General features: G+C 46.0%; 1 protein-coding gene across 3 annotated transcripts; it reads right to left on the bottom strand.

Moving 5' to 3' along the window:
• On the bottom strand, positions 16,852-23,644 carry CYP2A7 (cytochrome P450 family 2 subfamily A member 7). 3 transcript variants are annotated; one of them, NM_000764.3, is made up of 9 exons: positions 23,444-23,644; positions 23,002-23,164; positions 21,892-22,041; positions 21,497-21,657; positions 20,173-20,349; positions 19,265-19,406; positions 18,603-18,790; positions 17,940-18,081; positions 16,852-17,287 (listed from the first exon to the last, which is right to left on the bottom strand). In NM_000764.3, exons 1-9 carry the CDS (start codon positions 23,621-23,623, stop codon positions 17,106-17,108), a joined length of 1,485 nt encoding a protein of 494 aa, NP_000755.2. In that variant the 5' UTR covers positions 23,624-23,644; the 3' UTR covers positions 16,852-17,105. The 3 variants fall into 3 exon arrangements, with proteins under 3 accessions (NP_000755.2, NP_085079.2, XP_047294235.1); NM_030589.3 differs by lacking the exon at positions 23,002-23,164 and having other exon boundaries at positions 23,434-23,644; XM_047438279.1 differs by lacking the exon at positions 16,852-17,287 and having other exon boundaries at positions 17,989-18,790.

The raw sequence follows: 26,881 nt of genomic DNA on the forward strand, positions 1-26,881 counted from the left end.
TTGCTATAACATAATACCAGAGACTAGGTAATTTACACAGAAAAGAGACTTATTTGGCTTATGATTCTGGTGACTGGAAAGTCCAGAGCATAATGCCAGTGTCTGCTTGGCTTCTGTGATGGCTTTCATGCTGTATCATAACATGGCATGAGGTCGAAGGGGAAGTAGACATTTGTGAAGGGTCAACACATGAGCGGTGTCCTCAATTTATAACAGTCTGCCCTTGAAGGAATGAATCCATTCCCATGAGAACGAATCCTGTTTTGCAAAATGAGACCTCACTCACTACCTTGAGAAAGGCAACAAGCCACCCACGAGGGTGGAGCTCATGTGACCTATGTGCCTCCCATCAGGCCTCACCTCTTAAAGGTTTCACCTCCCAGCATTACCGAACCGGGAATTCAGGGGTTCCAGCATGAATTTTGACAGGAACACTCAAACTATAGCAGAAACTATGACCCTACAGATAGTGATTGTAATATTTCAAGTCTTTGGTATAGAGACTGTAATTTCCAAGATTTCATGAATCTTTCTTTCATACATGGAAGGCTGGGTAAGTCAAAGATTTTCAAAGATTTTCAGCCTCCTCCCAAGAGACAGTACCCATGCATGGTTAGGGTCTGAATGAGCAATTGTTATTCAATTGTTTGTTATGAAATATGACATGTGGCTTTTGGGTTTCTTGCTACTCTCTTATGCCTCCCCTCAGTCAGTGGGAAGCAGCCCAAACTGGAATTGAAGCTGTCAACACAAACCTGAAAATGTTCAGAACTTGATAACTATAGTATAATTATAAATCGCACAGGGCCCTGGTAGTTAAATCACTTCACACTTGACTTTATTTGCCTGTCTGTAGAATAAAGAGCAGGAAAGAGTCAAACAAGATATGGTTTGAGTCAGAGCACTGATACTTTTTGTAGCTGTGTAACTGTGGGGAGGTCAGTCAATGCCTCTCAGAATGAATTTCCTCACCTGCAAAATAATAATAATAATGACAATAATAATAATGATAGAAATGTACTACTTTGATGCACTGATGTATTACAGAAAGAAAAAAAGGCAAATTTTGTCTTTAAACTCTCAGTTTAAATCAGTAAACTAGATACCTTTTTTTTTTTTTTTTGAGACAACATGTCCCTCTATTGCCCAGGCCAGAGTGCAATGGCATGATCATAACTCAATGCAGCCTTGATCTCCTGGGCTCAGGGGATTCTCCTGTGTCAGCCTCCCCAGTAGCTGGGATTACAGGTGCACATCATCATGACCAGTTAATTTTTAAATTTTCTGTAGAGGCGAGATCTCACTATGTTGCTCAGGTTGGTCTTGAACTGCTGGCCTCAAGCAATCCTACTACCTTGGCCTCCCAAAGTGCTTGGATTACAGCTGCAAGTCACCGTGCCTGGCTGAACTAGAGTGCTTCTATCTAATCCTATAGGAATCCCTTATTTCTTATTGCTGCAGGATGAAAATTAAACACAGATTTTAATTGTGTGGATTGAAGAATTATATCAGAAGTTGAAATCACATCCTCACCAAGTCTTATATGTGAAAGTTAGGGCATTGGTTGGGAAGGAGAGGAACCCTGATACTTCGAATGGGGATATCTGGGTAGCCTCAGATGAAACTGAGTCACTCTGAGCATCCTTTCTGAATGAATGTATCTTCCCCTCTCATGGTCGAGGACACTAGTTTTCTCTTTCTTATAATAACAGGGGAGTTATCTTGAAATGGGCAGTATATTCTCCTCAATACTCACCTTGTTTATTTATTTATTTATTTATTTTTGAGGTGGAGTCTCTGTCACCTAGGCTGGAGTGCAGTGGTGCAATTTCAGCTCACTGCAACCTCCCTCCCAGGTTCAAGCGATTCTCCTGCTTCAGCCTCCGAGTAGCTGGGATTACAGGTACCTGACACCATGCCCAGATAATTTTTGTATTTTTAGTAGAGACAGGGTTTCACCATGTTGGCCAAGCTTGTCTCGAACTCCTGACCTCAAGTGATCTGCCTATTTCAGCCTCCCAAAGTGCTGGGATTACAGATGTGAGCCAACATGCCCAACCTCACCCCATTTATTATTTTCTGTCTACAGATCCCTAATTAGAGTCAGATCGCAGCATATTTTGGGTGACAAGTACAAGTATGATCTTGGAGATAATAGCATATACTCCAAAATAATTGCAATGCTTCTTGTATTTTGCATAGGCTGAAACCAAAGTTAATAGAAATGGTAATATAGGCTGAGCACAGTGGCTCATGCCTGTAATCCTAGCGCTTTGGGAGACCAAGGCGGGAGGTTCACCTGAGGTCAGGAGTTTGAGACCAGCCTGGCTAATATGGTGAAACCTCGTCTCTACTAAAAATACAAAAATTAGCTGGACGTAGTGGCACGTGCCTGTAATCTCAGCTACCAGGGAGGCTGAGGCAGGAGAATTGCTGGAACCTGGGCGGTGGAGGCTGCAGTGAGCCGAAATCCCACCACTGCATTCCAACCTGGGCAACAGACTAAGACTCCATCTCAAAAACAAAAACAAACAAACAAAAAAAGAAATGATAATATATTATAAGGGTGTTAGATCAAGGAGAATAGAATATAATATTAGATTGGGCTGAATTTGTAGATCGTGGTATACTTAACCAGAAATTCTGGATTGAGTATGTTAGCTCAGGCAGCTTTAAATGGCTCTAAGAATTGAGATAGGTGTTGAGAGAAACTTGGTCTCAAGAGTGACTTTAAAGTCAATGAACTTGAGATGCCACAACTTCATCAGCATTGTTCAGAGGAAGGAATCCAGAAGTTTGGAGAGATAGGAATGTTGGAGTGGGTTTATTGTGTGCAACCCTCTCTGTATTGCCTCACCCACTAGATCTTCTATGAGTGCTCATCATCTCTCTTCATGAAGGTCATGAAGAGAGGTCTACATTAAGAACTTTTGGGCTTGGCCAATGGAAGGTTGAGAGAAGAGCAAGGTCAGATTATCGTGCCTGGCCATGTGATAACAGTGGTTGTATTCCTCTGCCAGAAACCATGTCCTCCTGCTGGAGGCTCTCTTTTACCCCTATACAGTCAGTCTCAGTTTCAGAAACTTGTCCCTCTCACTGCACCTTTCCACCTAGGGATGATGATGGCTTATCCTTACTGTAAGCCATAGAGTGCTTCAACATCTTGTAGGTTTCCTTCACACTGCCCTCAACTTTGTAAAAAGTCCCTCCATTGGCCAGGCACAGTGGTTCACACCTGTAATCCCAGCACTTTGGGAGGCCGAGGCGGGTGGATCATGAGGTCAGGAGATCGAGGCCATTCTTGCTAACACGGTGAAACCCTGTCTGTACTAAAAATACAAAAAACTAGCCTGGTGTGGTGGTGGGCACCTGTAGCTCCAGCTACTTGGTAGGCTGAGGCAGGAGAATGGCATGAACCCGGGAGGCAGAGCTTGCAGGGAGCCGAGATCGCACCACTAAACTCCAGCCTGGGTGACAGAGCAAGACTCCATCACAAAAAAAAAAAAAAGAAAGAAAAAAAAAGAAAAAAAAACCCCTCTATTAAGCACTCATATTTTCCTGCTGGGATTCTGATGCACAAAGTCTATCAAATGAATGCATCATAATTTGTTTAACCAATATCTTGGTGCACATTTTGGTTTCCCGTTTTCCATTATGTAAACAGTTCTTTGATGAATCTAGATGATTTTGCACACTGTCATGTACATCGTAGGAGACATTACTAGAAGTGGAGTTAACTGAGTCCAAGAGTATGTTCTTTTGTAATTTAGACAAAAGCGTTCACATTACTCTCCTCTGAAGCTGTACCAATTTACAGTTCCAAGAACCGTAACTGAGAGTAAGGATTGCTCTGGGAGGCTGAGGCAGGAGTGGATACCAGCCTGGGCCACATAGCGAGACACCACCTCTACAAAAATATTTAAAATTTTTTCTACTACTAGGGTGTAGTACCCTAGTACTGCCTGTGGTCCCAGCTGCTTAGGAGGCTGAGGTGGGAGGATTGCCTGAGCCAGGGGGTCAAGGCTACAGTGAATTATGATTGCACCACTGCATTCCAGCCTGGGTGACAGAGCAAGACATTGTCTCAAAAAAAACAAAAAAACCCACCCCAAACAACCAACAAAACAAGAGGCCATGTTTTCACACCCAGTGATCTTAATAGCTCAAGTTTTGCTTTAGAGACTGTGGTTTTAACATCTGCTATAGTCCTGATGCTGAAGAATCATGGAGTCAAAGGTTTCAGCCTCTTTCCAAGGGGGAGAGCACATGGACAATTACCATCTCATGCAGGCATTTGGTTTTATGGACTCACATGCTTGTTACAAAACCAGACACAGCTTTAGGGCTTGTTATTACCTTCCCCCAACCCATCCTTGGTAGAAGACAGTCAACAAATGATATCTAAGCTGCCAACACATATTGGAAAATGTTTGAAACTTGAGATCTGTGGTTTATTATGAAACACGCAGTGCCCTGGAGTTTGAATTTCTTCCCGGTTGGTCTTAGTACCCTGTCTACAGATTGAGGGGAAAGGGCAGGAAGGGGAGTAAGTGTAGTTAAGAGCATAGCCTTGGCCAGGTGCGGTGTCTCACGCCTGTAATCCCAGCACATTGGGAGGCCGAGGTTGGTGGATCGCTTGAGGTCACGAGTTCAAGACCAGCCTGGTCAACATGGTGAAACCCCCATCTCTACTAAAAATACAAAAGTTAGCCAGGTGTGGTGGTGGGTGCCTATAATCCCAGCTACTCAGGAGGTTGAGGCAGGAGAGTCACTTGAACCCGGGAGGCAGAGGTTTCAGTGAGCCGAGATTGTGCCACTGCATTCCAGCCTGGGTGACAGAGTGAGACTGTCTCAAAAAAAAAAAAAAAAAAAAAAGAGTCAAACAGATCTGACTACTACATCTGTGATCTGTGCTAGGTCCTTTCAGTGGTTGAACCTTAATGGTTGTGACTCTCTGTTTGCTCATATGTAAAATGTGGATGATCATAGAACCTTTATCACAGATTTGTGAAGACTGCATAGCACACTCCATGAAAAGTTCTCCTTAGCACAGCATCAGGCACAGGGAAGCTCAACGCCTTGAAGGTGCTGTTTTTATTTCTAGGTCCCTAAGATCTTCCTCGTCCTCCTTATGGCTCCCCCCTTTATTCTCCATATTTGTTCCTTCCTTGAAAGTCAAGGGTGCAGGAAGAAGATGATATCCTGGAGGCCAAGCCCACACAATTAGGACATGTAGTGGACATTTACCTGTTCTTAGATCCACTGCTGCTCTTCCTCTGCTTGTCTATCACAAGGGGCTGACACCTGCACACTAATTCTGTCTTGAGGGAGACTGTGTAGGGGAACATGGCCATTTGAGTTCATTAGGAAAGGGTTTTGAGGTCAGGACATGGGTATTTGGTGTACATGGGAGTTTGGTGGCCTCTATTGTAGGAGGCTTTGGAAATGTGTATTGTTGGGAGGTCCTGAGGGAGGAAGTTTGGGATGAACATGGAGATTCTAGGCTGTGGAGGAAGATGTAACATGGCTATTGGAGGATTCTGGGACCTTACCTTGGTACCTTGGTAATGAGGACATCTTCAGCTTTATTTTTATGTATTTACTTTTTTTTGAGATGGAGTCTCACTCTGTCACCCAGGCTCGAGTGCAGTGGCGTGATCTCAAAATACTAAAAATTAGCTGGTTGTGTTGGTGGGCACCTGTAATCCCAGCTACTTGGGAAGCTGAGGCAGGAGAATCGCTTGAACCTGGGAGGCAGTGGTTGCAGTGAGCTGAGATCATGTGGCTGCACCTCAGCCTGGGTGACAGAGTGAGACTCTGTCTCAAAAAAAAAAAAATGTTCATGCCTCAGCTGCTCAGCCAGTAGTCATTCTTTTCTCAGTAGCTGTTTTCTCCTCAGCTTTGTGGAGTCTTTCCCTCAGCCTGTGCAGCTCTGTATTCAGCCAATGATTTGAGGCCACTGTAAGCAGCTCTTTCCCTTTGGAGCTCTTTTTGTAAGCAAAAGCTCAGTTTCTTACGTAAGAAAACCCAATTCCCCTTGAGGAAGAGAAAGAGCTGGAGTCCTTTAAAATTAACTGCCTGTTTTTCTGTGGCTAGGGAGCCTTATCTCTCCCTTTGCCAGGCATTGTGAAGACTCTGTTTCTCTAGCTGTGCAGCTGCAAGGTCACTAGACAGATAATCTCAAGTCGTAAAATATGCCGTTCCTTGAAAAGTAAGAAATGATGTAATGCATGTCTCAACTGGATAAGTGTCTTTGTTTCTCGATTCTGTTTTATGCTTCCCCCTGCACAGATCTCCTCCTGCACCAGAAGTGCTTAAAAGGTAACTGGACTCTTTGTTTGGGGCTCAGTCATTTTGGATGTTGATCTGACTGGGCCGGTGCACCTAAATAATAATAAGAAATCCTCCTCAACCCCTCAGTCTCTCTGATTCCTAAATTATCTCACTGCAAAGGCAAGATAATTGCTTGAGCCCAGGAGTCTGAGACCAACCTGGGCGACATAGTGAGATCCTGTCTCTACAAAAGATTAAAAAAATTAGCCGGGCATTGTGGCGCATGCCTGTGGTCCCAGCTACTCGGGAGGCTGAGGTGGAAGGATTGCTTGAGCCCAAGAGGTCCTGGCTATGGTGAGCTATGATCACACCACTGCCTTCCAGCCTGAGTGACAGAGCAAGACCTTGTCTCAAAAAAAAAAAAAAAAAAATTGGGCTGGGCATGATGGCTCAGGCCTGTAATCCCAGCACTTTGGGAGGCTGAGGTGGGTGGATCACCTAAGGTCAGGAGTTCAAGACCAGCCTGACCAATGTGGTGAAACCCTGTCTCTACTGAAAAATACAAAAATTAGCCAGGTGTGGTTGTGTGCACCTGTAGTCCCAGCTACTCGGGAGGCTGAGACAGGGGCCTAGGATTAAATAAGGAGTTTTGGCAAAACTAGGCTGGAACTCCAAAACCTGCTACGTAAGTACTCACGAGGGTTGCTAGTTATTAGTATTATTACTTTGTTGTTATTTTTAGGAGTGGAGCAGGTTGTATTTGTATCTTACATCACCGGCTCTGGTCAGATTTCAATTAATGTCACAGATAGGATTTAAACATTTCTTTTATTATTTTTAAGATTTTAGGCCAGGCACGGTGGCTCCCAGCACTTTGGGAGGCTGAGGGGGGTGGATCACCAGAGGTCAGGGGTTCGAGACCAGCCTGGCCAACATAGTGAAACTCCGTCTCTACTAAAAATACAAAAAAAATTAGCTGGGCATGGTGGCACGTGCCTGTAACCCCAGCTATTCGGGAGGCTGAGGCCAGGAGTTTGAGACTAGCCTGGGCAAATAGTGAGAACTTGTCTCTACCAAAACAAAACAAAACAACCAACAACATTAGGCCAGGCGTGGTGGCTCACACCTGTAATCCCAGTACTTTGGGGGGCCGAGGCAGGCAGTGGATTGCCTGAGGTCAGGAGTTTGAGACCAGCCTGGGCAACATAGTGAAACCCCGTCTCTACTAAAAGTACAAAAATTAGCTGGGCATGGTGGTGGGGCACCAGGAATCTCAGGACTTGGGAGGCTGAGGCAGGAGAATCGCTTGAACCTGGGAGGTGGAGGTTGCAGTGAGCCATGATCTGGCCATTGCACTCCTGCCTGGGTGACGAAAGTGAAATTCCATCTCAAAAAAAAAAAAGTTAGCTGGATGCTGGATGTGGTGGCATGTGCCTATAGTCAGCCACTCAGAAGACTGAGGTGGGAGGATCACTTGAGTCTAGGAGTTCAAGGCTGCAGGGAGCCGTGATCATACCACTGCACTCCAGCCTGGGCAACACAGCAGACTCTGTCTCAATAAAAAAAAAAAAAAAAAGCGCAGAAGAATATTAGTTTATGGAGAGTATTATTTAATCTTTAGAAATTTTCTGTACAAAACAAACAATGGAAAATAAGAAATGCATTACTCTATAATAAAATATAGCCTTTTCTCTCTCACATATATATGAATGGATAAAAACAGTCATAACTTCCTACACATTTAATCCTCTATACTAGCTTCCATACCCATTTACCACTCCCTCAAAGACAAACATACCAAAAAGATGCTAAGTAAATGAACAAAATACTTGGTATTCTTAACTATCTAAAGTATTGTACTTAACAGGTATTTTCTTGGCTGACTGGTTCTCCATACCCAACAAACACAGTGATGTCAGCTCTCACCACTCACATTAAACAATATAGCCATTGCTGTAAAGTACAAAAGAGAAATGCAGTACAAATTGAAAAGGAGGAAATAAAACTTTTATTCATCGTTGATATTATCAGATACATAAAATCCCAAGGAGACAAAAGCTACTACTAATGAGATTAGAAGGATCCCAGAAACAGACACAGACATGCACACACACCTCCCCACAGACACAGATACACACTCACAACACACTCAGAAGTACATTTTATTTTATTTTGAGACAGTCTCGCTGTGTCACCCAGGCTGGAGTGCAGTGGCTCCATCTCAGCTCACTGCAACCTCCGCCTCCCGGGTTCAAGCGATTCTCCTGCCTCAGCCTCCCCAGTAGGTGGGATTACAGATGTGCACCACCATGCCCGGCTAATTTTTTGTATTTTTAGTAGAGATGGAGTTTCACCATGTTGGCCAGGCTGGTTTTGAACTCCTGACCTCAAGTGATCCACTCACTTTGGCTTCACAAAGTGCTAGGATTACAGGCGTGAGCCACCACGCCCAGCCAGAAGTATCTTTTAAACAGGATTTTTAAAAGTGAGAGTTGACCCTTTCCATAATCTGGAGTTGGGATGGGCATTAGTGGTTTGGAGAGGAAAGAGCAGGTGTGTTGTGGCTGGGAGGCGATTCCTTTCAGCACCTTGGGTGATGTCTGAGGCCATACCCACTTTCTGTGCTAGTTTTGGGATTATGATGATTAACCCACACTCCCTTTGTTCCTCCCATGTAAGCTGGATTCTTGGGCATTCAACCAATATTAAACCCTTCCTCTGAAAAATTCCTGGATTGACGAGACCACACTGGACCCATTTTCATTCCCTGTCGTGATCAATAGGTATCAAAAGAAATGATAGCTTCTTAGAATAGAAATTTGCAGCCACTGGGGAATGTAGTTCTTAATGTGAATACAGAAGAATCTCATTATAAAATTCTGTATGGCTCTGAATTTAAGATTTTGTTAATTTTTATTTTTTTTGAGACATGGTTTCTCTCTGTCACTCAGGCTGGAGTGCAGTGGCACAATCTCGGCTCACTGCAGCCTCTGCTTCCCAGGCTGAAGCGATCCTCCCACCTCATCCTCCCACCTCATCCTCCTGAGTAGCTGGGACCATAGGCGCACACTTCCACGCCCGGCTAATTTTTTTGTGTTTCTGTATTTTGCCAAGTTGCCCAGCTAGTCTTGAACTTCTGAGCTCAAGCGATCTATCCACTTTGGCCTCTCAAAGTGTTGGGATTACAGGTGTGAGCCACTGTGCACGGCCAGGATTTAAGATTTTAGGGGATATTGAAAGCCTTTGATTATAATACCATTGAAAACACAAAATACTTAAAGATAAAATTAACAAAAGTTATGCAATAGTGTAACTACAAATCATTGATGAGAGAGATTAAATATCTAAATAAAGAGATATATCATGGCCACGAATTAGAAGACTTAATATTGTTAAGATGTCAGTTCTTCTGAAATTGATCAATAGATTATTTGTAATCTCAATCAAAATTTCAGCAGGCTGTCTTTGTTTTGGTATAAGTTAATAACATGATTTTAAAATTCTAAGCTGTGGCTGGGCAAGGTATCTCACGCCTGTAATCCCAGCACTTTGGGAGGCTGGGGCGGGCGGTTCACCTTAGGTCAGGAGCTTGAGACCAGCTTGGCCAACATGGCAAAACCCTGTTTCTACTAAAAATACAAAAATGAGCTGGGCATGGTGTTGGGCACTTGTAATCCCAGCTACTCGGGAGGCTGAGGCAGGAGAATCACTTGAACCCAGGAGGCAGAGGTTACAGTGAGCCGAGTTCGTGCCACTGCACTCCAGCCTGGGTGACAGAGAGAGACTCTGCCTCAAAAAAAAAAAAAATTCTAAGATGTATATCTTTTACAACTACCAGTCAAAGTAATTATAAAAGAGTAACAAATTCAGAGGGCTCACCTTATTTTACCATAAAGTAGTGTAGGCATATACTGATCAATTAAATAGAAAAGAAGGTCTAGAAACAGACACTTATATGATCAATGGATTTTTGATTAAGATGCCAAAGCTATTCAATGGGAGAAAGGAAAGTCTTTTAATGAAAGTGTTGGAATAACTGAATTTCCTTAAGGAAAAAATATGCTTTTGCTCTTATTTCACTCTATATTTAAAAATTAACTCATAATGACTCAGACTTAAAAGTAAAAGCTATAACTGAATTCTTCAAAAGAAAGCATAGGAGAAAATCTTTATGAACTTGGGGTAGACAAAGATTTTTAAAATGAAAAGATTGATCATAGTTCTTTATTTGGAAATTAAAATAAAAATGCCATAAGCAATGACACAAAAAATGGCATACCTAGCATTACATTTGGCTTACATTTAGTGTAAGATCTATACAGTAAAATCCGCTAAATATTGCTGTGTCATGTTGAGGAATTTTTTCCTTCCTTCCCTTCCTCCCTCCCTCCCTCCCTCTTTCTTTTCTTTTCCTTTTTTATTTTCTTTCCTCTTTTCTCTCTCTCTTTCTTTCTTTCTTTCTTTCTTTCTTTCTTTCTTTCTTTCTTTTTCTTCCTCCCTCCCTTCCTTCCTTCCTTTCTCCCTCCTTTCCTCTCTCCCTCCCTTTTATTTTCCTTCCTTCCTTCCTTCCTTCTCCCTCTCTTTTTTTTTTTTTTAAGACAGAGTCTCCCTCTGTCATTTAGGCTGGAGTGCAGTGGCACGATCACAGCTCACTGCAGCCTTGTCCTCCCAGGCTCAAGCCATCCTCCCACCTTAGCCTTCCAAGTAGCTGGGACTACAGGTGCACATCACCATGCCCAGCCAATTTTTGTATTTTTTGTAAAGACAGGGTTTCACCATTTTGCCAAGGCTGGTCTTGAACTCCTGAGCTCAAGCGGTCCTGCCTGCCTTGGCCTCCCAAAGTGCTGGGATTACAGGTGTGAGCCACCGCATCTGGCCAATCTTTTCTTTTTCTTTCATAAAAGTTGTACTATTTATGAAGTACATGTGATATTTTGACACATAGACACAATGTGTAATAATCGAATAAAAGAAATTCGGATATCCATAACTTCAGGCATTTATCATTTCTTTGTATTAGGCACATTCCAATTCCACTCTCAGTTATTTTGAAATATACTAAAAATCATTGTTAACTACATTCACCCTATTGTGCTACCAAACACTAGATCTTATTCTTTCCATATAACTGTATTTTTGTACCCATTAACCATCTCCTTTTTATCCTCCCTTCTCCACTACCCTTTTTAGCTTCTGCTAACCATCATTATACCTCTACCTCCATGAGTTCAATTTTTTTTGGCTCTCCCATAGGAGTGAGAACATGTGGCCTTTGTCTTCCTGTGCCTGGCTTGTTTCACTTAACATAATGTCCTTCAGTTGCAACTGTGTTGTAAATGCAGGATCTCATTCATTTTTATGACTGAATAGTACTCCTTTTTGTGAATGTACCACATTTTCTTTATCCATTCATCTGTTGATGGACAGTCAGGTTATTTCCAAATCTTGGCTACTGTGAATAGTGCTGCAGTAAACATGGGAGTGTGGATATATCTTGGATATACTGATTTCTTTTCTTTGGATATATACAGTGGGATTGCTGGATCATAGGGTCATTTTATTTTTAGTGTTTTGGGGAACCTCCAAACTGTTTTCCATAGTGGTTGTACTGATTTAGATTTCCACCAAGAGATATGTATGAGAGTTCCCTTTTCTCCACATTCTTGCCAGCATTTGTTATTGCCTGTCTTTTGGATAAAAACCATTTGAACTAGGGTGAGATGACATCTCATTGTAGTTTTGATTTGCATTTGTCTGATGATAATTATGTTGAGCACTGATATGGTTTGGATCTGTGTCCCCACCAAATCTCATGTTGAATTGTAGCTCCCAGTGTTGGAGGTGGGGTCTGCTGGAGGGTGGTTGGATTTCTCATGAATGGTTTCATACTGTCCTCTTGGTGCTGTTCTTGTGATAGTGAGTGAGTTCTCATGAGATTTGGTTATTTAAAAGCGTACAGCACCTCCCCGCTCACTCTCTCTTGCTCCTGCTTCCGCCATCTAAGATGCCTTACTCCCTCTTTGCTTTCTGCCATGATTGGCAGTTTCTTGAGGCCTCTCCAGAAGCAGAAGCTGCTATGCTTCCTATACAGCCTACAAAACTGTAAGCCAATTAAAACTCTTTTCTTTATAAATTACCCAGTCTCAGGTATTTCTCTGTAGCAGCATGAGAACGGATTAATACAAGTCTCAGGTATTTCTTTTCTTTTTTTTTTGAGATGGAGTCTCACTCTGTTGCCCAGGAGTGCAGTGGTGTGATCTCGGCTCACTACAACCTCCGCCTCCCAGGTTCAAGCAATTCTCATGCCTCAGCCTCCCAAGTAGCTGGGACTACAGGCGCCCAACACCACGCCTGGCTAATTCTTTTGTATTTTTAGTAGAGACAGGGTTTCACCATGTTGGCCAGGCTGGTTTCGAACTCCTGACCTCAGGCGATCTGCCCGCTTTGGCCTCCCACAGTGCTGGGGTTACAGGCATGAGCCACCGTGCCATCAGGTATTTCTTTATAGCAGTGTGAGAACGGATTAATACTAGCACCTTTTCATATACCTGTTTGCCATTTGTATGTCTTCTTTTGAGAAATGTCTATTCAAATCTTTTACTCATTTTTAAATTGGATTATTAGATTTTTTTCCTATTGAGTTGTTTGAGCTCCTTATTTTTTTTGTCAATTATTCTTTGTCAGATGGAAAACTTGCAGATATTTATTTTCTCCCACTCTGTAGGTTGTCTCTTCACTTTGTTGATTGTTTCCTTTGCTGTGCAGAAGCGTTTTAACTTGATGTGATCCCATTTGTCTATTTTTGCTTTGGTTGCCTGTGCTTGTTGGGTATTACTCGAGAAATCTTTACCCAGTGCAATGTCCTGGAGAGCTTTCTCAGTGTTTTCTTTAGTAGTTTCATGTTTGAGGTCATAGATTTAAGTCTATGATCCATTTTGATTTGATTTTTGCATATGTCAAAAAATAGGGGTCTAGTTTCATTCTTCTGCATATAGATGTCCAATTTTCTTGGCATCATTTATTGAAGGGACTATTATTTCCCCAATGTATGAATGTTCTTGGCACCTTTGTAGAAAATGAGTTCACTGTAGATGTATGAAGTTGTTTTTGGGCTCTTTATTATGTTCCATCGGTCTACGTAACTTGTTATGCTAGTACCTTGTTGTTTTGGTTACTATAGCTCTATAATACGATTTGAAGTCAGATAATGGGATTCCTCCAATTTTGTTCTTTTTGCTTAAGATAGCTTTGGCTACTCTAGATCTTTTGTGGTTCTGTTTAAATTTTAGAATTGTTTTTTCTATTTCTGTGAAGAATGTCATTGGTATTTTGATAGGAATTGCATTGAATCTGCAGATTGCTTTGAGTAGTATGAACATTTTGACAATATTGCTTCTTCTAATCCATGAACACAGAATATCTTTTCAATTTTTGGTGTCCTCTTCAATTTCTTTTATCAGTGTTTTATAGTTTTCATTATAGAGATCCTTTACTTCTTTGGTTAATTCCTAGGTATTTCATTGTATTGCAGCTACTGTAAATGAGATCACTTTTGTTTTGAGATAAGGTCTTGCTCTGTCACGCAGAGCTGGAGTGCAGTGATGTGATCTTGGCTCACTGCAGCCTAGACCTCCTGGGCTCAAGAGATTCTCCTACTTTGGCCTCCCAGGTAGCTGGGATTACAGGCGCACACCACCAGGCCCAGCTAATTTTTAAAATATTTGTAGTAGAGATGGGGTTTTGACATGTTGCCCAGGCTGGATTTTTAAAAATTTCTTTTTTAAATTGTTTGCTGTTGGCAGATAGAAATGCTAGTGATTTTTGTATGTTGATTTTGTATCCTGCAACTTTACTGAATTTGTTTATCAGTTCTAATAGTTTTTTTGTGGAGCCTTTAGGTTTTTCCAAATATAGGATCATATCATCTACAAACAAGGATAATTTGACTTCTCCCTTTCCAATTTGGATGCGTTTTTTTTCCTTCTCTTGTCTAATTGCTCTAGCTAGGACTTCTGGTACTATGTCAAATAACAGTGGTGAAAGTGGGCATCTTTGTCATGTTCCAGATCTTAGAGGAAGACTTTCAGTTATTCCCCATTCAATATGATATTAGCTGTGGGTCTGTCATTCATGGCTTTTATTATGTTGAGATATCTTCCTGCTATACCTAGTTTTTTGAGGGCTTTTATTATGAATGGATGTTGAATTCCATCAAATGCTTTTTCAGCATCAGTTGAGATGATCATATGGTTTTTCTTCTTCATTCTGTTGTTATGATGTATCACACTGATTGATCTGAGGTGCCACCTCAGTTGCAATAGAATAGAGCACCAGGTAGATTGCTAAGGCCCTGGCTCCTGGACAGCATCTCTATTCCTCCCTGGGGCCTGGAAGAACTCACCACCCCAAAGGGAAGAACAAAAACCTCCCTCCTCCCTAAACTCCTGGCAACTACTATCTTGTACTGTCTTCACAGTTTCATTTCTCCAGAATGTCATATAGTTGGAATCATATAGTATGTGGCCTTTTCAGACTGGCTTCTTTCACTTAGCTACATACATTTCAGGTTCTTCCATGTCCTTCTGTGGCCTGATTTCTTTTTATTGCCAAATCATATTTCTTTTCTTTCTTTCTTTCTTTTTTTTGGCTTTTTTTTTTTTTTTTGAGACAAAATCTCACTGTGTCACCCAGGCTGGAATGCAGTGGCTCCATCTCAGCTCACTGCAACCTCCGCCTCATGGGTTCAGGCAATTCTCCCACCTCAGCCTCCCAAGTAGCTGCAACTGCAGGTGCATGCCACCGTGCCCAGCTTATTTTTGTATTTTTAGTAGAGATGGGTTTCACCATGTTGGCCAGGCTGGTCTCAAAATCCTGACCTCAAGTGATCTGCCCGCCTCGGCCTCCGATAGTGCTGTAATTACAGGTGTGAGCCATCATGCCCTGCCATATTTCATTGTATGAACATATCACAGTTCATTTATCCATTCACTTGTTGAAGAACATCTTGGTTGCTTACAAGATTTGGCAATTATGAATAAAGCTGCTATAAACATCTGTGCAGAGGTTTTTGTGTGACTGTATGTTTTCAACTCATTTGGGTTAATACCGAAGAGCATGATTGCTGTAGCACATGGTAAGAATATGTTTAGCTTTGCAAGAAACCGCCAATTTGTCTTCCAAAGTAGCTGTGCCATTTTGCATTCCCACCATCAATGAATGACAGTTCCTGTTGAGCCACCTCCTTGTCAGCATTTGATGTTGTCAGCTTTGGATTTTAGCCATTCTAATAGGTGAGTAGTGGTACATCATTATTGTTTCAATTTGAAATGGCTACTGACATATGATATGGAGCATCTTTCCTTATGCTTATTTGCTATGTGTATATTTTCTTTGGTGAGGTGTCTGCTCAGATCGTTTGCCCATTCTTTAATTGGGTTGTTTTCTACTGTTGAGTTTTAACAGTTCTTTGTGTATTTTGAATGTAAGTCCCTTATCAGGTATGTCCCCTGCAAATATGTTCTCCTAGTCTGTAGCTTATATTGTCATTCTCTTGACAATTCTTTTGCAGAGCAGAAGCTTTTAATTTTAATGACACAGAACTTATCAATTGCTTCTTTCAAGGATTGTGCTTTTGGTGTTGTATCTAATAAGTCATCACCAAACTTAAGGTCATCTAGATTTTCTCCTACGTTATCTTCTAGAAGTTTTGTACTCACTATTCATTTAGGTCTACAATAAACTTGGAGTTAATTTTCGTGAAAGCCGTAAGGGAGCTTCTAAGGGGGACACACACTAACTTCTTTGAGAGTGGGCAGTGATTGTGAAACTCTCAGCTGGGTCTTACAACAGACCCCAGATCCATCAGGAGAGCCCAGCCTTCAGAACCCATAGTGGAATATGTTTCATGCATACACGGAGGAGAATATGCAGTCATATGCTCACATGCATGTCTGAACATGATCACACACATGAATATGGCTATGTCCTGATCCAGAGTTCTCTCATTCTCTGTAAGTGATTCTTTCCTTCAACTTCTTCATTAAGGGATATATTGACAGAATGTCATTAAAATTAAAAACTTCTGCTCTGCAAAAAATTGTTAATGGACTGACTCTGTATGTCCATTCATGTCTCGTTGTGTCCCTGGACTGACTCTGAATGGGCTACAGTGGCCTTATCTGGTAGCAAGCACAGATTACACCCGGGTATTCAAAGCATGTTGAGTAGGTGAGAGTGTGGGCATGTGTGCAGTGAAGGCAGGACAGCCACCCGCCAGGTCTCTGGAAAACTCCCCAGGACAGGGATGTTCAGGCCATGTGATGCTATACTAAGCTGTTTTACGTGAGGAATGGGTGGTTTTTAAGAATGTGTCTAGAGGGCTATGGGCACAGATCTGTGTTCAAAGATTTTCTGGGCACTTATGTTTTGTGAGACATCAGATAGAGCCAACTTTCTAAGCCTCAGCTTTGTCACGTGTAAAATGGGCATGAACGCTTTTCCCCTTCGCAGAGGTTTGTGGCAATTAAGTGAGGTGAGCGTGCAATAGTTTTTGAACAAAGGTGACACGGGGGTACGTGCTCAGGAAATAAGAGCTGCTATTATTACTACTCTTCATAGCATAATGTAAGGTTTCCCTTCCTCTCATCCCAGCTCGGAAGCACCTTATCAAGGTGAACTGAGCCGCTTCTGTTTCTTCTCTTCCCTCTAGCCACCACGCCCCTTCCTTTCCCGCATCTTCCCCCCATTCTTATACCCGCCTCTTCCGCGAACCCCGCCCTGACCCCGCCTTTCCCTGGCCCCGCCCACCAGACCTGCACCGGCACAGCCCTCGCTCAGCGGGGCAGGAAGCTCATGGTGTAGTTTCGTGGGATCGTGGCAAAGACCACGTGTTTGGGGGACACGTCAATGTCCTTAGGTGACTGGGAGGACTTGAGGCGGAAGTTCTGCATGACGGTGGTGAAGAAGAGAAAGAGCTCCATTCTGGCCAGGCCTTCTCCGAAACAGTTCCGCTTTCCTGAGGAGGAGAGGCGGGAGGGGTGGAGGTGAAGCCCACTCTCAGTGCAGCCTCGCCCCAGTACCGACCTCCAGCTGCGGCTCTCCCAGGGAGGAGGGGTGGAATATTATGGCCTGAGAGAGTTTCAGAGGAGGCTCTGATCCTCCCTGAGCCTCAGTTTCTTTCTACAAGAGATGTAACAATGGTGAACCAATATTGATATATTATTACTAACAAAGTCCATAGTTTACACTAGGGTTTACTCTGTGTTATACAGTTCTATGGGTTTTGAAAAAGGCATAATGTCACACATCCATCATAGATGGGGTGATCCATGCCAGGTGTAGCAATGGGAGGTTTAGATGTCCTTCTTGCCAGATACACTTGCAAATATGACTGCTGTGCCGTCATCTCCTTTTTAGGGATCTGAGGAATCTGCTGTGTGACCCTAGAGAAATACATCTACGGGGAAAGATGTTTCCTTTCCTTTTACCTGGGTGCAGGTACTGGGTGCTTGGTAGTTAAGGAAGTATCAGCTGCTGGCTCAAGGGTAGATTCTAACAGGAACTTCCAAGCTGGAGAAATACCAGGCTACACCGCAGAGAGGGGAGGTGGGTGAGGGAGGCGCCTGCTGGTGTGAGCAGTGGCCTGGCAGCAAACAGTGGTCTCTTACCGATGGAAAAGGGCACAAAAGCATCACTCTTCTTAAACTGCCCCTTGTCATCCAGGAAATGCTGGGGATTGAAGTCCTGAGGGTTGGAGAAGAAGCTGGGGTCTCTCAGCACGGAGCCCAGCATAGGGAACACTTCGGTGCCCTGGTAGGGAGGAGGAAGTTGTGTGTGATGAGGAGGGTCGGGGGATTGGTGAAAGTACACAGGGGCTGGAGGGGGAACTAGTGTGCCCCAGGTAAGGGGAAGTGGCAGGCATGGAGGAGTTGGGGTCCTGTGAAGGAGGAGCTTTGGGGAATAGAAGGTTCACATCTCTGAAACAGGAAGTTTGGGAGACATGGGGTCCATGTCTTGCTACGCAGGTTGTTTGGGGGACCTGAAATTTGTGTCCCTAAGACAAAAGGCCTAATGGAAAGGGGGCTTCTGTTTCTTAAGATAGGAAGTTTTGGAACTTGAGTTTGATTCTCCCGACACAAAGAGTCTGGGGAGATGCAGGACTCAGGAGTGTCTAAGTGGAAAGGTGGAATGGATGTGGTGGTTGGGGAAGTCCTTTTTGACTGATTGAGGGAGTGGGACAGTGAGTAGAAAGCTTCTAATGGGGGCAGGATTCTGGGGACACAGAGAAGGGCTGGAAGTCCCCGTAGTCTAGGGGGTGGGGAGGATAGCACCTTAGGGAGGAAAAAATCCCGAAACTTGGTGTCCTTTTTAACCCTGCGGGCCAAACTCATGGGGATCACGTCTCCAAATCTTTGGATCTCGTGGATCACTGCCTCCATGTAGGGCATCTTGGTCCGGTCCTCAAACTTGGGCTGCCGGTTCTTGCCGATCACTCTGTCAATCTCCTCATGGACCTTGGCTGGGGGAGGAGGGGGAATGTGTTTAGGTATCTGGGAGTCTCAGAGCAGGAAATGATAGTCTGAATAGGTAAAACGGGGTGGATGATACGGCTCCCCCTATGAGACGGAGGTAGAGCATTCATAACAGAACAGACATCGGCCATTCGCATTGTTGGAGTAGGATCCTGTTAACCAGGTTGTGCCAGAATCACAGGGGAGGCACAGGGAGGAACTTAGGAGATGACCCGGGGGAAGGGGCAGCGGGCACTCAGTGGGCTTGGGACAGAAGTGACTGACCAATCAGTGCAGACATTTTCAATATTTTAATAGCTAATGAGACTCAGCTGATGCCTACCAGCTGAATGTTGCCCTGTCTCTGGACAGCAAGGCACGTCTCAGGGTCCTGGGATCTGGGACAGGTAGGGACATTGCACCAGTCGAAGGGGAATTTTGAGGGTCTGGGGCCCTCCACTTCCGTCCCCCTCCAGCCTTACCCTCCACCTCTGGGTGCTTCATGAGCAGCAAGAAGCCATAGCGCAGGGTGGTGCTGACCGTCTCGGTGCCTGCAATGAAGAGGTTCAACGTGCTCATCATCAGGTTCTTCAAGTAGAACTCCGTGTTGGGGTTCTTCTCCTCCTGCAGGGAGAGGGGGCTTTAGGCCAACCTCACTCCTCTTGCCCTCAGGGCCCTTCTAGGGCTTTTCCTTTGGATCTACCTCTCTTTGGTCCAGACCAAAGGTGGAAAGAGGGACCCTAGATCTACCAGACTCGCTCTAGGTTCCAGCCCTTGCCCTGGCTGCTGGCTTTGCCCAAAATGCTCTTTCTTCTCACCTTCTTTACGTTGCTGACCATCTGTCCTTTAATTATCAACTTAGCTGTCAGTTTTTTTTTTCTTACACTGACTTGGTCTTGCTAAGTTGCACAGGCTGGACTCGAACTCCTGGGCTCAAGCAATCCTCCACCCTTAGCCTCCTGAGTAGCTGGAACTGCACACGCGCATGACCATGCAGGCTCACTTACTTTTTAAACAATTAATTAATTTTTTTTGAGACAGGGTCTCATTCTGTCACCCAGGCTGGAGTGCAGTGCCGTGATCTTGGCTCATTGCAACCTCTGCCCCCCTTCGCGCCACCACGTGCAGCTAATTTTTGGATTTTTAGTAGAGACAGGGTTTGACCATGTTGGCCAGGCTGGTCTTGAACTCCTGACCTCAGGTGATCCACCTGCCTCGGCCTCCCAAAGTGCTGGGATTACAGGCTGTTAGCCACGGCGCCCAGCCAATTGTGAGGATTATTATGATGAGGGCTAATTTGAACGGGTCTGTGTCGTCTGCCCGCCCCACTCCCAGTCTGATTTCCCTCTGCCTGGCTTTGCACCTCCCCGCACTGGCTGCTGGGGTGTACCTCCTGCATGTGGATGAGAAAGGAGTCGATGAAGTCCTGTGGGGAATTGGGATCCAGCGTGCGCTGGTTGTGCTCCACCTTCTTGGCTATGAAGTCCTCCAGCCCTTGCAGCAACTTAAAGGCCTGTTGCTGTGGTCCTGGCAGGTGTTTCATCACCGAAGAGAACATCTCATAGAGCTGGGGTTGCAGAGAGAGGATGGGAAGGGAAGGACAGCTGTCACGGGGCAGGAGCTGATGGGAATGGGATTTGTTTCATAGCAAGGAAGGAACTGAGTTAAAGGCATCTGTCTCATTGTTTAGGTATTTCAGTGGGGTCGGATAGGAACTTATATCTAAGTTTTCAGGAAGGTTAGGTACCAGGGCCACGGTCTAGTAATTTAGGTGAGAAGAACTGAGGCATATATCCAGGTTTCAGGTATGCAAATGAGGCTGGATTGGAGCACACATCTAGGTGTTCAGATATTCAAGTGAAGTTGAGTTGGAAGACACCTGTCCAGGTGTTTAGCTCTTCAGGTGGGGCTGGTATGAGGTGAGTGTCACCTGTCTAGGTATTTAGGCATTCAAGTAGGCTTGGTTGGAGACAGCTGTCCAGATACTTACTGGGTCTGGATTGGGGGCTTTTGTTCAGGTGTTCAGGTATTAAAGTGGGGCTGGTGAAGATGTTGAAGTGCAGGGGATACCTGTTGAGGTGTTTACCTATCCAAGTGCGATGCACAGGGAGCACCTCTGTAAGGTGTGTGATTGGAAAGGGTTGGGGAACACTTATTTGTGTGTCAGGGAACAATCTGTCTAGATATTTGTGTGTTTAAGGTGTTGGTTAGGGCAGCTGTCCATGTTTTCAGGCATTTAAGTGGGTGAAGTAGAGGGCGCTTGGCCAGATATTCCAGTGGGCTAATCTGGGACATTTGTGTAGATGTGAAATGATTATGATGGGCTGGATTTTGCAGCACCAGGTGTTCAGGCATGCAGGAGGCGGGTTGACGCAGTCATTTGTCCAGGTGTTAAAATATTCAGAAGAACTGGGTAGGGAGCATCTGTTAGAAATTACGGTAAGTTGGGGATGGGAACACGTGCCCAGGTGAGAGAGCTGAGCTGAGGGTATGTATCCTACCAGCAGGCTCTGTTTTGGGGAGCATCTGTTGAGCTATCCAGGTGTCCTTGGAGACAGGCTTCTGGTGCAACTGTCCAGTTGTCCAATATCGGGGGCTGATTTTGAGGGGACACTGTCTGGAGCGGGGTGGGAGTTTGGGGCACCTGTCTCCAGGTAGGGGAGCAGTTGGCAGGTTGTGGTAGGGGCGTCACGGGCCGGGCTGCAGCCAGTTACCTGCCCCGTGGAGGTTGACGTGAACTGGAAGATTCCTAGCATCATGCTCAGCAGTGACAGGAACTCTTTGTCCTCATAGTCAAAGCGGTCCCCAAAGACAATGGAGCTGATGACATTGGAGACTGTGCGGCTCAGGAAGAAGGTGGGATCGATATTGGCGCCTGCGGGTGTGGAGGGAGAAGGGGGTTGGGGAGAGAGTCAACTCAGAGGTCTGAGGAGAATCAGAATTCCAGGAGGCAGGGCCTTGTTGAGCCAAATTCCCAGCGCCAGACTCCAGGGCTGGAAGTGCGGGCGCCTTTCCCCACCTAGTCCCCATCCGCAGGCAGAACGCGCGCGGGTTCCTCGTCCTGGGTGTTTTCCTTCTCCTGCCCCCGCACTCGGGGAACCTTACTCACCGTGCGTGCTCCGGATGGCCTCGATGAGGAAGCCCGACTCCTCCTGGATGCGCTCCTCGATGCCTCGCTTGCCCACCCCGAAGTCCCTCAGGGTGGCGATGGCAAAGCGCAGGAGCTGCTTGGCGCGCTCCCCGTTGCTGAACGCCACGCCTGGGGAGGTCAAGGCGGGGGTGGAGAGAGGTCAGGGGGCGGCGGTGGCAGGAGCGGACCAGTTCCAAGGGGCTCCCCAAGGGTGGAGCAGAGGGGTAGTGGGGTGGGAGAGAGATGGATTCAGTGCCAGTGCCCAGGACAGGTGCAAACTCAGTCAGAGAAACACGAGGGAGAGAGAGAGAGAGAGAGAGAGAGAGAGAGAGAGAGAGAGAGAGAGAGAGAGAGAGAGAGAGACCGGGTAGAAAGAATAAGAGAATCAGAAGAGAAACAGAAAGGCCAGATAGAGATGCGCAGAGAAACAGAGGGATAAGGGGATACTCCATGGAGGAAGGGTAGGAAGTGGGGAGAGAAAGAGAGAGATGGAGGAAGAGGATGGAGGGAGGGGAAGTGAGATATGGGGAGATCTGGGAGGAGGAAATAAAAATGGTGAAACATTCTTAAGCTGAGCTGGAGAAGAGAGAAAAATACTGAGACAGAAACAGAGAGGGTCTGGAAGGAAGAGAGACTGTTACCAGGAGATGGAGGCTGGAGATGTGGAAGTAAGAATAGCATGAAATCCTAAGGGAGAGGAAAAAGTGAGAGAGGGAAGTGGAGAGAGGAGAAACATGGAGAAGCACAGAAGCTGAGAGCAACAAAAAGACAAATGAAGACAGAGGACCAGGGCTGGAAAACAGAAACCCAGGATGTCCTCAGAGATGGAGAGAGAGGGGAAAGAGGAGACTCCAGTGAGAGAGAATAAGGAGGTGGGGCAGAGAGAGGCAGGGAGGAATCACGACAGGGACGCTGGAGACAGGTGAGGGATACACATGGAGAGGCCACAGTGAAGGGAGATGGGGAGATAAGACCAGACCGGGGGTTCTGCCATAGCCTCCAGTGGGCAGGAGAGTCAGGGAGAAGGCTGGCAACACTGAGACCATCGTGTCCGCCTGGCCACCTTCCCCATCTTGGGCACCCCCTCACCATAGCCTTTGAAGACCCAGTCGAAGGTGGCTTGCTCGCCTCGCCCGCTGAACTCCTCAGCCTGGTCCACCAGAGCCTCCCTGACGGCATCATGTCCACACAGCACCACGACCCGCCGGGGCCCCAAGTGAATGGTGAACACGGGGCCATAGCACTCACTGAACTGATGGAGGCGAGTGGGAGTGGTTAGAGGGAGCAGCCCCCACTCTGAATGGGGCCCAGCACCGAGATGTCAAGTACTGGGATCCTTCACCCCCAGGTTCTCACAGTCAGGGAGCTGGACATCCCAAGATCCTGTCTTTCCTGGCTAGGACCCGGATGCTGAAACTCCAAAACTCCCTTTCCTAAGACTCTGGTCCACACTGGTCAATCCCCTGCCACAAAGCCCCAGCCAACTAGGCAGCCCCCACCCTGTGCCACCCATCTTCCTGCCTTGGGACACCTTCATGATGGAGTCACATATGTGCTCTGTGTTCAGCTGGAGGTAGTTTCCAATGAAGGGCAGTGGGGTGGGTCCCGGAGGCAGCTTCCCCCTGCTCTTCCTCTGCTGCCAGACAGACATCAAGACCATCACAGTCAGGCAGGCCAGCAAGGCCACCAGAAGCAGCCCTGAGGCCAGCATGGTGGTAGTGAGATGACAGATGGTGATGGGTGGGGTGGTTTGCCTTTATACTGCCTGAAAAAGAGGGATGGACTTTGGCTAATTACATAATCACCTTATTTCACCTCCCAACTACACGCCCCACCATGAATGCCACCTAGCTTGGGACACAGCCAGCAAGGGAGGATAAGGGGACCCCAGGGCAGCTGAACAGAGAGGGGGCCTCCAGACTAAATCTGTGGTACTTCAGGAGGGGTGCCGCAGGGCTGTGGATTTAGGAGGGGGCAACCGATAAACTGTAGAACTGAAGAGTTTGGAATATTTGCATAGGGGAGCACTTGGGCTTTGGATTTGGGGTCTGAGAGTGAGAATGCACCCCAAAGTTGTGGATTTGGGCATTCCAAGGGAGAGGAATCCAAAGGTCTGGGTTTTATTAGGGTGAGATGGAAGTGTGGCTGTGCATCTGGAGGTCTTCTGTTGCGGAGGATGCAGGGTTAAGGGTCTCAGGAGGGGGGACTCCAGGCATATGGACTTGAAAGTCTCGGGGCTAGGAAGACCCAGGGCTGTGGGTGTGGAGTTTCTGGGAGGAGGAGTGTGTAGCAAGCCAGCAGGTGCTCCCAGAAAGCCCAGCAGCCCAGCAATGGGCCCAGGGGCTGACTTGATTTTGCTTTTGCCCAGAGCTATCTCTTGATGCCCAGAATCCTCATTGGAACCTCAGAGTGAGGCCAGGATGGGTGCCATGGAACCTCCACTGCCCATCTCTGGTTGGGAAAGGGGTGGAAGACCAGGGCCATATTTCAGGGGAACTTTCCCCACACCTGGAGAAGAGTACCTGGAGTTAGCGGTTGGCAGAGGGATTGGCTAGGTCTGGAGAAATAGTAATAACAACCCCCAAATGGTGGAAAAATCTCAAGTGTCCCAAGGGTTGTCCGCTGGTTTCCAACCCAGATCCTCAGGGAAACCCACTAGATTGATTGTATCATCCCTATTAATATTATGATTGTTGTTTATGTTTCTCATTTTATATAAAGATCTACAGAGGACAGAAAACAGACAGTGGGCAGGGGACATGTGTGAGTGGCCCTGAACTCCCATCTCTCCTGCTCTGTGTACTTAGTTCCCCTTTCTGGATTTGGTTTTCCTGCCAGTGGAAAGGGAGTGTTTGGGAAGAGAAGATCACATTTGAGGGTGAGTTAAGTCTCCTTTAAGGGCGATTCCTGCTTTGTCAGGGGCTACTACTATTAGCAGGCAGAGGGAACAGTCGCAGAAGAGATTGGGGTAAACTCCAGTGTTAGGCACAGAGGCAGATCCTGGGGTGGGTGTGAGTGGAGAAGGGATGAGTAGCCCTCCTGTCCTTCCTTCAGGGAAATTCTTCCTTAGTAAACAGGACAGTTACCCTTTGGTGAGCATGGTCATATATGGGAAGATTAAGTCTAGGTGTGTATGATCTGGTTGAATCTTTGTAACAGTGAGGTTGGTTCATCGTGATCATCCTCATTTTGAAGATGAGCAGATCTAGACTCCATAAACCCTCTTGAGTGAGGTCACACAGGGAGTAAGTGAGGGAGCTGGGATGTGAACTTTCTCCTCGCCCCCCTTCATTGACTGGCCTAGATCACCCTGGGAGTCAAGTGCGGGCCAGCCTTAGCAGGAGGTGAGTGCTGAGACTGGCATCAGCAGTGGACACACTGATGACATTGGCGGGTTCTGATATCAGCATCAGGTATGGCCAGGGAGGGAAAGGCATCGTGTTGGCTTTGGGACTGCCCCCAGGTGTATGCGAGGATGGGAAACAAGTTGGCACTGAACTTGACACCAGGAGAATATTGAAGTCATGTTTGGTGCCAAGAGGGCTCTGTGTGTTGTCTCAGGTGTCATTGAGGGCATAAGAGTGTCCTGCTTCAGGAGGGCATAAGGGTGGCACCATATAGGGTCTGAGGTTGGTCCCAGTGGGCTCTGACATGAGCATGAGGCAGGTGCTGATATTGGTCCTATGTGGGTCTGAGATGAGCCTCAGCCAGACCCTGAGAGGGGCCCCAGATGGCCACAGGACAGGCTCTGGTGGTTGGACCATTTAGGGTTGCACCTGTCCTCTGGGTCACCAACTTTGGACAAGTGGAGGTGGGTGAGGTTGGCACCCCCAGGACTGACATCTTGCTCAAACTGTTCTAGGATGCTGAGCTCTGAGACCTGTGTGGAGGGAACAAAGGTCAGAGAACAAGGCAGAGAGAGGAAAGTTGTTTGTTGATTTTGGAGGGGAAGAGGTGGAAAGGAAGATTAGCACCAGCTTGGCAGATATCAATCCCTCTAATCCTGTTCACCAGCCTGCACCTGGGCCTGGCTCCTCCTTTTCCTTCTTGTTTCTTAAAAAGGTGGGAGACAGAAATCTGAGGAGTTTGTTTCTCAGTGGGGTTGGCACTAAGAAGTGCACTGAGTGATCAGCAGGTTGCCATGACCTGGCCAGGGAGGGGATGGGGAGAGACAGGTTGGGAGAACTCTAGTATTTGTGGACATAGAGGTCAATGAATTTTGGACTTGTTGATTACCCTAGAGCATGGAGTGAGAGAATGGTGTCTGAAATCATGTGGGAGGGACTTGTCCCAGTGGGCAGTGTCTTGGGAACAGGCTTTCAGAGTGAGTTAGTGGCGAGCCCAGGAAGATCCCTTTCCTTTGCTGGGCCTCAGTTTCCCTTTCTGAATGGATGGTGCAATGATTAAGGCCTGGATTGGAATCCTAACCTTATCCTTTCTTTGTTGTGTGGCTTTGAACAGCTGACTTCATCTCTCTGAGTCTTATGGAGCCAAGAACAGCTCCTACCTCTTTGGCTATTTAGGGGAGAAGTATATGTGTTAATGCAGATGAGGTACATGGCAGTAAGTGCTCAATGAATGGTAGTTGTTCTCTTTAATCTGTAGGATGAAGCAGATTGATGAGATGTTCCCTAAGCACATTCCTTGCTTTTACATTCTCTAGTCTAAAGCTCACAAATCTTTTCCTTTGGGAAGGAGGAAAGGGACAGAGTCTTTGGGAACCTCCTTCGCCATCCCTTCCTCAGCACAGCCAAGCTTTACCCCATGGAGCTGTGAATAGGAAATTAATCCTTCATGGCCTCCTGGAGTGTGGTGCTGAGTTAGGCAGTATCTGCGGAAGGACAGGCCAGCATTAGACTCTCAGGTTATTCTGGTTGGCCCTGGAGCCCTGCACAGGACTTTGCCCACCTGTCTGTCTATGCTTGTCTTGGATCCCATCTTTCTATCTTTCTCTTTCTCCTTCCCTGCA

This window comes from Homo sapiens, chromosome 19 (assembly GCF_000001405.40).
Source record: "Homo sapiens chromosome 19, GRCh38.p14 Primary Assembly".
NCBI lineage: Eukaryota > Metazoa > Chordata > Mammalia > Primates > Hominidae > Homo > Homo sapiens.